The following is a 10,964-nucleotide window of genomic DNA, read 5'->3' as shown; positions in this document are numbered from 1 at the left end:
ATAAATGCAAAGGGGCTTAATTATTACGGAATTCATTTCACTGTGATGCTCTGTGGTTGTCAAGATTCAATCTAGTCTTAAATTTTAATAAGGACCCCATCTACAGAAAATTCTAAGTGAAGGAAGTTTGAGCTAGAATGTGAGGACAAGATTACAGTGGTTAATAGAAATAAAGTAGAATTTAAATTATTTTTATGTATGTTAATTTTTTTATTACAATTTTTTCAAAATTTATTGTTTTTAGTACTAAGAATGGAAATTCATGATGTTGGAAAGGAGAGGAGCCTGAATCTCCTAGGTTCAACCTCCACGCTAATACCAACAATGAATGTCAAGTGTATTGGCCTCAGTAAGGAAATTACACTCACCTTCTCCATCTCTCCTACTTTATTCTTCTCCAAAGAAGGATGCTAATTGTGGGGCATGAATAAAAATGAAACACAAATATAGAAGATGGAGCTTTTGGTGTGAGTGGGGAGAACTAACTCAGTCTCTGTCTCCCCGTCTCTCTTTCTTTTACTTTCCCTTTTCCCTTCTCTCCTGAATTGTCAATGTAATTTTTGGATTTGGGGGTTGCTTCTCTCTAGGCATTGCTTTATGCAATAAGATGTGTCTGGATCTGCCTCCTGCTCATCAGAGATCTTGCTCTGGAAATACCTAAGAGTATGAGCATTACTAGGACTTTGCTCAAGATTTCATGGGGAAACTTACTTCACTTTACACATTTAGCCTTGGATTTATTTTCTTAATAATGTTTATTACTGAAGTAAGAGGATCATAGGCAGCATTTGCTAAGTGTGATATAAACAAAATAACACAAAAGAAAACTTTCATTAAAGAGTCTCCAATCTAATGTACCTTTAGGTTGCCTCAGGTAGTTTTCCCAAAAAATACTTTCATAAATATATTTATAAATATATCCTTATATGCTAATGTGCTATAGCAACTATTTCTGTAGTAGTGGGATTCACAGAATTGGAATGTACTAATAAATAGGTAAGTATGTTTAAAATTTTGAATATATCTAACTTGACTTCAATTTGTTTAATTATTATTGTTATTTTGCCAATTGCACTGCTGCTACAATGTTTGAGCAACTTTCAAAATTTCTTTGACAAAATTTGGACATATTTTAGAGAAGAGAAACAGCACAGACCACAAATCTGCCATCCAGTGTGCCACATAGTTTTGGTCTCTACATGTTAAATTTTATGCCATAATAAATAAATTATCATATTCACACACAGCCTTTAAGGATAGAAAGAGTCCATTAAAGAGATCTAAATTGAAGTTGTGATTATGTGTGAAATTATTTTGTATTTGTTGTTAGGGGTGTGACGTTATAATTTCTTGTTTAGTAGGATTTCCTCGAAATGTTCTGAATTATTACCTTGTGCATACTAAGAAGCATGCATCAAATAGGGTATACCTAAGATTTTTTAAAAAATGAAAGCTAAGGTATAGCTGTTGAATAAAATTGACCTTTCTTTTCTCTTTCTCTTAATTTCAATATAATATGAAATTCAGAAAATATTTACATTTGCTAAAGATTAGGATTTGTATCATTTATTTGTTTATCCAGTTAATAATTTATGTTATAGTCATTATCGATTCTAAACCATACTAAATATTGAGAACTCAGAGAAAAGAGAACATCTTCACTGCTTAGGAGTGCATAGTATATTTCTTAACCAAAGTAGCTTCAAGACAACAAGTAGAAAGTTTAGATGATGAAATCAGAAAAAAGGATTCTCACTCTGCCTCACAAGGCATCAGGCAAAGGATGTATTAGAATCATCCAGTTAGATAAGGGTAGAAAAATCAAAAACCCTTCAAAAAATCAATGAATCCAGGAGCTGGTTTTTTGAAACGATCAAGAAAATTGTTAGACCACTAGCAAGACTAATAAAGAAGAAAAGAGAGAAGAATCAAATAGACGCAATAAAAAATGATAAAGGAGATACCACCAATGATCCCACAGAAACACAAACTACCATCAGAGAATACTATAAACACCTCTATGCAAATAAACTAGAAAATCTAGAAGAAATGGATAAATTCCTGGACACATACACCCTCCCAAGACTAAACCAGGAAGAAGTTGAATCCCTGAATAGACCAACAACAGGCTCTGAAATTGAGGCAATAATTAATAGCCTACCAACCATAAAAAGTCCAGGACCAGATGGATTCACAGCCGAATTCTGCCAGAGGTACAAGGAGGAACTGGTACCATTCCTTCTGAAACTATTCCAATCAACAGAAAAAGAGGGAATCCTCCCTAACTCATTTTATGAGGCCAGCATCAACCTGATACCAAAGCCTGGGAGAGACACACAACAAAAAAAGAGAATTTTAGACCAATATCCCTGATGAACTTTGATGCAAAAATCCTCAGTAAAATACTGGCAAACCGAATCCAGCAGCACATCAAAAAGCTTATCCAACATGATCAAGTGGGCTTCATCTCTGGGATGCAAGGCTGGTTCAACATAGGCAAATCAATAAATGCAATCCAGCATATAAACAGAACCAAAGACAAAAACCACATGATTATCTCAAAAGATGCAGAAAAGACCTCTGACAAAACTCAACAGCCCTTCATGCTAAAAACTCTCAATAAATTAGATATTGATGGGACGTATTTCAAAATGATAAGAGCTATTTATGACAAACTCACAGCTAATATCATACTGAATGGGCAAAAACTGGAAGCATTCACTTTGAAAACTGGCACAAGACAGGGATGCCCTCTCTCACCACTCCTATTCAACATAGTGTTGGAAGTTCTGGCCAGGGCAATCAGGCAGGAGAAAGAAATAAAGGGTATTCAATTAGGAAAAGAGGAAGTCAAACTGTCCCTGTTTGCAGAAGACATGATTGTATATTTAGAAAACCCCATCGTCTCAGCCCAAAATCTCCTTAAGCTGATCAGCAACTTCAGCAAAGTCTCAAGATACAAAATCAATGTGCAAAAATCACAAGCATTCTTATACACCAATAACAGACTAACAGAGAGCCAAATCATGAGTGAACTCCCATTCAAAGAGAATAAAATACCTAGGAACCCAACTTACAAGTGATGTGAGGGACCTCTTCAAGGAGAACCACAAACCACTGCTCAACGAAATAAAAGAGGACACAAACAAATGGAAGAACATTCCATGCTCATGGATATGAAGAATCAATATTGTGAAAATGGCCATACCGCCCAAGGTAATTTATAGATTCAATGCCATCTCCATCAAGCTACCAATGACTTTCTTCACAGAATTGGAAGAAAATTACTTTAAAGTTCATATGGAACCAAAAAAGAGCCTGCATTGCCAAGACAATCCTAAGCCAAAAGAACAAAGCTGGAGACATCACGCTACTTGACATCAAACTATACTACAAGGCTATGGTAACCAAAACAGCATGGTACTGGTACCAAAACAGAGATATAGACCAATGGAACAGAACAGAGCCCTCAGAAATAATACCACACATCTACAACCATCTGATCTTTGACAAACCTGACAAAAACAAGAAATGGGGAAAGGATTCCCTATTTAATAAATGGTGCTGGGAAAACTGGCTAGCCAAATGTAAAAAGCTGAAACTGGATCCCTTACTTACACCTTATACAAAAATTAATTCAAGGTGGATTAAAGACTTAAATGTTAGACCTAAAACCATAAAAACCCTAGAAGAAAACCTAGGCAATACCATTCAGGACATAGGCACTGGCAAGGACTTCACGTCTAAAACACCAAAAGCAATGGCAACAAAAGCCAAAATTGACAAATGGGATCTAATTAAACTAAAGAGCTTCTGCACAGCAAAAGAAACTACCATCAGAGTGAACAGGCAACCTGCAGAATGGGAGAAAATTTTTGCAATCTACTCATCTGACAAAGGGCTAATATCCAGAATCTACAAAGAACTCAAACAAATTTACAAGAAGAAAACAAGCAAGCCCATCAAAAAGTGGGTAAAGGATATGAACAGACACTTCTCAAAAGAAGACATTTATGCAGCCAACAGACACATGAAAAAATGCTCATCATCACTGGCCATCAGAGAAATGCAAATCAAAACCACAATGAGATACAATCTCACACCAGTTAGAATGGCGCTCATTAAAAAGTCAGGAAACAACAGGTGCTGGAGAGGATGTGGAGAAACAGGAACACTTTTACACTGTTGGTGGGACTGTAAACTAGTTCAACCATTGTGGAAGACAGTGTGGTGATTCCTCAAGGATCTAGAACTAGAAATACCATTTGACCCAGCCATCCCATTACTGGGTATATACCCAAAGGATTATAAACATGCTGCTATAAAGACACATGCACACGTATGTTTATTGCGGCACTATTCACAATAGCAAAGACTTGGAACCAGCCCAAATGTCCGTCAGTGACGGACTGGATTAAGAAAATGTGGCACATATGCACCATGGAATACTATGCAGCCATAAAAAAGGATGCATTCATGTCCTTTGTAGGGACATGGATGAAGCTGGAAACCATCATTCTCAGCAAACTATCACAAGGTCAAAAAACCAAACACCGCATGTTCTCACTCATAGGTGGGAATTGAACAATGAGAACACTTGGATACAGGAAGGGGAATGTCACACACTGGGGCCTGTCATGGGGTAGGGGGAAGGGGGAGGGATAGCATTAGGAGATATACCTAATGTAAATGACGAATTAATGGGTGCAGCACAGCAACACGGCACATGTATACATATGTAACAAACCTGCACGTTGTGCACATGTACCCTAGAACTTAAAGTATAATTAAAAAAAAAAAGAAAAATCACCTCATAGAGAAAATACAACCTGTAGAAAGGTATTAAGATTTGAGAGAGACAAATGAATACTTGAGGAACTCCACATAAAGGCATATAAAATGCTTTGAACTGTACCAAGCAGTTAAGTCATTGCTTACTAAATATTTTTTACTGTTATCATTATCATTATGTAAGTTGTGGTAGTATTTATTTAATCTTCCCCCAAAATACTGTGTGTCAAAAACATTTTATAACCATTTCACAAATGAGAAAACTGAGGCACAAACATATTAGGTAACTTTTTCAAAATCACATCACTGATGAGTGGGGAAAGGGGATAAGAACTCAGGCTGTGAGTGGCTCCACTTTAGGACTCATATAGAAAAGTTATTGGAAATGCAACAGATTATGAAATAAGTTACATACAAATATCAGGATGTTAACCTTTAGATCATAGAAGTTTCTGAAAGGCATCATGCATAGCAGTGTATGGTCTGATATGTACTGCCATGTGGAGTACCTACAGATGTAGGGGCCAAAAGAGTCAGGGAGATCAGTTCAGAGGCTATTGCAGCAATCCAAGGGAGAATTTATGAGGGTCTGAATCAAGAAAAGGGCTATAGCAAAGAATGAGTAGATTTCAGAGATATGAAAATTTAACTGATGAGAATTGAGATTGCATGTACAAAGTAGAAACCATTAACTGAGCTGGAGAATTTGAAACCGGAAAATGTCTTATCTTTTAAAGAAATGGGAATGTTTATTCCTAGAGGAGCACATTGTATTTCAATTTAAAACGCATTCTCCATCATTTTTCACTGATTATGCTCCAGAAACTAATTTCTTCTTAAGTGTTAATATAAGTGCTAAGATAGATATCATAATTAATATTTAAGAGCCAAACTTAAATTTGGTTTCAGAAAAAAGCACATGTTTAATCCAATTGAGATTCCTATATAACTATAAAGTCAGTCAAAATAAACAATTTTGCAGAGATTTTTGTTTGTTTGTTCTAGTCAAAATTGTTTAGTTCTGGGTATTTTGACGCTATCCAACACACTTCTAGGTGACAGTCTGAAGATTTGCTAATCAAGATAAAATCACTGATCTTTCATTTTGTTCCCCATAGAGTCTTTATTTTACATTAGTAAAAGCCTTGTTGGCAATTCAGGTTCTAATTTAGAACCAAGTAGAGTTGTATAATTTGGTCTCTAAACCACTCTAAACCTGACATTCTCTAGATATCTTTATGGTAAAGTTTGTGAGACCTGATTCAATTCCAATCATAGTTATAAAAATTGTATTTTTTATGTCTACAAATAAGTGACTTAAATATACATAGAAACAAGTCTTAATTCTTAGTTCCATATTGCATTGATTTTCCTATAATGTTCTGTTGAAGTTTAAAATACATATTAAAACAGTTGCATTATTATTATTTTTCTTCAATCTACACAGATATTTCATAGTCAAATACATTAATAAAAATAAACAGTTGAGCAATAAAATAGTAATACTGAATACCTGGATATTTAAATCTGAGAAATTACTTTTTTTGAGTTTGGAAAAAAGTCTGCATTTTTCATTTTTTAAAGAAACTACATTTGTATAAAAAATTTCTCCTTCATTTAGCATTACATATGTATATATACATATATATAATAGTATATTTATTAGCACTTCAACATTGTTGAAAGGTAGGCAAATGTGGGAATTAAAATGATACCCAATTTTCTGATTTTCTTCTTAATAAACACTAAGACAAATACACACAGCCTCCAAAATCATATAAAAGAAACATAATTTTAGAACAATTGATCAAATATTTAAAGATTAGAGAATCTTTATTTTAAGCAAATCAGATGGTTCAGGAAACTTCTCCAGGAGGCCTTGAACAGACTCATTCTCTCCTCTTTCTCACTTGTAATTCTCAAGGATAAATGTAGAAAGCACTGAGAATGTAATGTCTTGAGATAGGAGGGTAACTCGCTGGAACAGCCCTAGCTCTGCTTCAGGGCCCTCTAGCAACAGAATGTCCTTCAGTGTTTGGTCCAGTGTTTCATGTTTCGCCTGAGGTATACAGCCCAAGGTAGGCTGCACTTTCAGGTCCCTCATCTGTGATCCAAGTAAGGCACATTCAATCAAGTCTCCAAATGCCTCAAGTAGCTTCCCTAGCCTTGGAGAAACAGCTCGCCCTGAATCCTCTGCTTCTATTGTCTCTTGCTGTGTATCTGGAAGAAATAAATTTGTTTCATGTAACTTGCTGCCTATGTGTTCTCTATCACTAGACTCAGATAAGTTGGCAACCAGTGCACAGTGAACTTGCTTCAAAGATGGAGTTACCCCCTATGTCACTTTGAATTAAGGAACTATAAATGAAATATATGTCTATAATTAGATATAGATATTAAATACATATATTTAATTATATAGGGTTACATATAATTATACATGTTTTACATGCATAAATACATATAACTTTACATACTTATATAAAACATCTATTTATTATAAATTTAAATATTTAATATATATTTAATTATCTGGAATGAATATTATTAAACCATAACAGTGATCACAGAGCATTATTATCAATGAGTTACTCAACTGTTTCTCCCCCAGAATATAATAACATTATTAGTATCAAGGACTAGAATTTGCTCTCTTCAGCTTTGGATCATCAGTGATGGGCAAAGGTATTGATGCACAGCAAGCACTAAAAATATTTTCTAGTAAGCACTCAAACGTGCAGGATTGAAAGTGTAACACTTAAAGTAAAAAAACTGGTGAGGCTCATTTTTACTATTACGGTCCATGTAGATAAGTTCATAAATGTTGAAGAATAACCAAATCAATGTGCAGTAGAGGAAAAAAATGGATGGCTGATGATTAAAGGCTTAATTAGTTGTTCATTAAAAAAATTATAATTGATAACAGCATATTATATCTTATTGAATAGTAAATAATAAATATGTAAATATTTACAAGTATTGTTTTATAATCCTATCTGTTTCTAAAAGAATAGAGCCCGAAGTTATTTTAAAAAATTTATGGGACTTGGCACCAAGATGGTTGACTAAAAGTAGCTAGTTTGTGCAGCTATCATGGAGAGGACATAGAGTGGTGAATAAAAACAGGTCTTCAAGTGGATTGTCCAGGAGGGCACATTGGGATTCATCAAGGAAGCAATGATGAATTTGCATCAAGGAAGCAAATGATGAAACAAGGAGAGCAGAGAGGAGCAGGGCAAAACAGCCGTCCACCAGGGATTGGTCCAAAACCAAGGGAGGCCCCACTGCAGGGAAATAGTGAGTGATCAAGAGTCCCCAGGGCCCCACACTTCTGCCATTGACCTTTGCGATCCTGGGCATGGGAGATCCTCTCTGAGCCCCCGTCCCCCATAGCTTCCATCGAGACTGAGCCTCCAAAGCTGCTGCTCAGGCCCCCATGGAGCCCCAAGATCCTTGAATCCCTGAGAACCTTGGTGTCAGCTGCCATAACCACATCAACTAGGGAGGAAGGACTCTCTTACATGCCCCCAGGATAGGGGCCACATCCACAGTGCTGAGGAGAAGATGAACTGCAGGCCTTGCCTCTGCTGTACCTCATCAGGCAAAGCCCACTGGCCTGGGACCCCAGCGGAGCCAGCCTGAACCACCTAAATGCTTGCTGGTCATGGCTGTTTGTTTTTCTGGGGCAGAGATCCAAGAGGTAACTGATAGGCCTGCTATAATTGCTGCTGCAGTGACATCTCCCCTCCTCATCCCCTCCACTCCTCTTGTCCCCTACTGTCCTCAGGCTGCAGAGGGATCAAAGAGCCCAAGAACTGTCTCAGGCCTACAGTGCAAACCGCAGCTACCAGAAGGAAAAGTGACCAGAATATTTTCCACACTGTTCCCTGTCCCTGCTAGTCATCCTCACAGGGAAGGGCCTCCCATCCGGGGCCCCAAGTGCAGCCACCCTACCCCTGTCTGTTCACTTCAGTGGGTGGCAGCTCTGCATTTCTCTAGGGCGAGGTTCCTGGAGATAACTGACAGGCTCTCTGCTATTGCTGCTACAGTGATACCTGCCCTTGCTGCCCCCGGGCTAGGGAGAAAACAAAGACGCTGATTGCTCTCCTCACACCTCCAGCATGCCACAACCACCCTACAGAGAGGAGGCAAAACTGTCTTTTCCCTGAGCCCCACTACTTGCTGCTCTTCATCAGGCAGGGTCCGGCTTGAGCCTGCAGCACAACCACCACACCGCTGGCTGAACATTCCATTGGTAGTGGCTCTGCATTTCTCCGGGGTAGAGCTCCCAGCACAAATTACAGTCCCTGTACCACTACCATGGCTATGGTACCTGCCCTTGCTGCCACTAGGCTGGGGAAAGAAAAAAGAGCTTGGGTGTTTTACACTTCTAGCATGCCACAGCTGCCCTACAGAGAGGAGGTCAGACTCTTCCTCCTGAGCCACCTGCTTTTCACTAGGCAGGGACCCCACCTTGAGCCTACAACACAGCCACTCCACCCACAGCTGATCATTCCAGTTAGCAGTGGCTCTGTGTTTCTCTGGGGTGGAGCTCCTAGAGGCAAGTGCCAGGCCCTGTGTCATTGCCACTGCCAATGTCTCTGCCCATGCTGTTCCCAAGCTAGGGAGGGAACAAAAAGCCTGAACTTGCTCCAGGGATGCAGTGTGCAGCCTGGTAGTGCCAAGCCATGATCTTTGACCAGAACTTGAGTCGGAGAAGAACCCACACCCTCAGAGAACTGAAAGGGAGCATGGCTTCCAAAGGTGAAGAAACACAAGGGAGTCACGTGGCTGATTAAGAGCCTATCTACCAGCCATTACTCTTAAGCACCATCTACCGGATCTCAGCCCAAACTACACCACCAAAAATACTTTGCTAATATATCCCTTTGTGAAATCAAGGGTAAGAATTCAGTCACAAATAGAGACACTGCACAAAACCTTGGCCCTCTGAAAACATCCAGAAATGAAGCCAACTGATCATACTCAAATTAGGCCACAGTAAAAGGAACATCAGCCCACAAAGGTAAGAAAGAACCAGTGCAAGAACTCTAGCAACTCTAAAAGCCAGAGTGTCTTCTTACTTCTCAACAACCTCGCTAGCTCCCCAGCAATGGTTCTTCACCAGACTGAAATGGCTGAAAAGACTGACAGGAATTTTGACAATGAAGATAATCAAGATTCAGGAGAAAGTTAAAACTAAATCCAAGGAATATAAGGAAATTGATGAAATGATTCAAGAGCTGAATGACTAAATAGCCACTTTAAGAATGAAACAAAGTGATCTGTTAGCACTAAAAACCTCACTACAATAATTTTATAATATAATTGGAAGTACTAACAACAGAATAAACTAAGCTGAGGATGGAATCTCAGAGTTTGAATGAATTAATTCAGACGAAAATGAAGAAAACAAGAATTTTAAACAATGAACAAAACCTCCAAGAAATACGGGATTATGTAGAGACCAAATCTGTTACTCATTGAATCCCTGAAATGGAGGAAGGGCAAGAAACTATTCCAAAATTTATACAGAACTGTAAAAGAGCTCAAATTGCCAAAGCAATACTACACAAAACAACAAAGCCAGAGGCATGACACTACCTAACTTCAAACTATATTACAAGTTTACAGTAACCAAAACAACATGGTACTGGTACCAAAATAGACACATAGACCAATGGAACAGAATAGATAGCCCAGAAATAATGCCACACACCTACAACTATCTGCTCTTCAACAAAGCTGACAATAACAAGCAATGAAAAAGTAACTTATTAATAAATGGTGCTGAGATAACTGGCTAGACATACGCAGAAGAATGAAACAGGACCCCTATTATTCACCATGTAAAAAATATAAACTCAATATGAATTAAAGACTTAAAAGTAAAACCTAAAAATAGGAAATACTATCTGAACATTGACCCTGGCAAAGATTTCATGAGGAACACTCCAAAAGCAATTGCAACAAAAATGGACAAGTGGAATATAATTAAACTAAAGAGATTTTGCATAGCAAAACAGACTATCAATAGAGTAAACAGACAACCTACAGAATAGGAAAAAATATTTGCAAACTATGCATCTGACAAAGGTCTAATATCCAGCATCCTTAGGGAACTTAAATTAACAATCAGAAACAACCAACCACATTAAAAATTTTCTTAAGGA

This window comes from Homo sapiens, chromosome 16, assembly GCF_000001405.40.
Source record: "Homo sapiens chromosome 16, GRCh38.p14 Primary Assembly".
NCBI classification, from domain to species: Eukaryota; Metazoa; Chordata; class Mammalia; order Primates; family Hominidae; genus Homo; species Homo sapiens.
The sequence above is the reverse complement of the archived record's forward strand: the minus strand, read 5'-3'. Positions refer to the sequence as shown.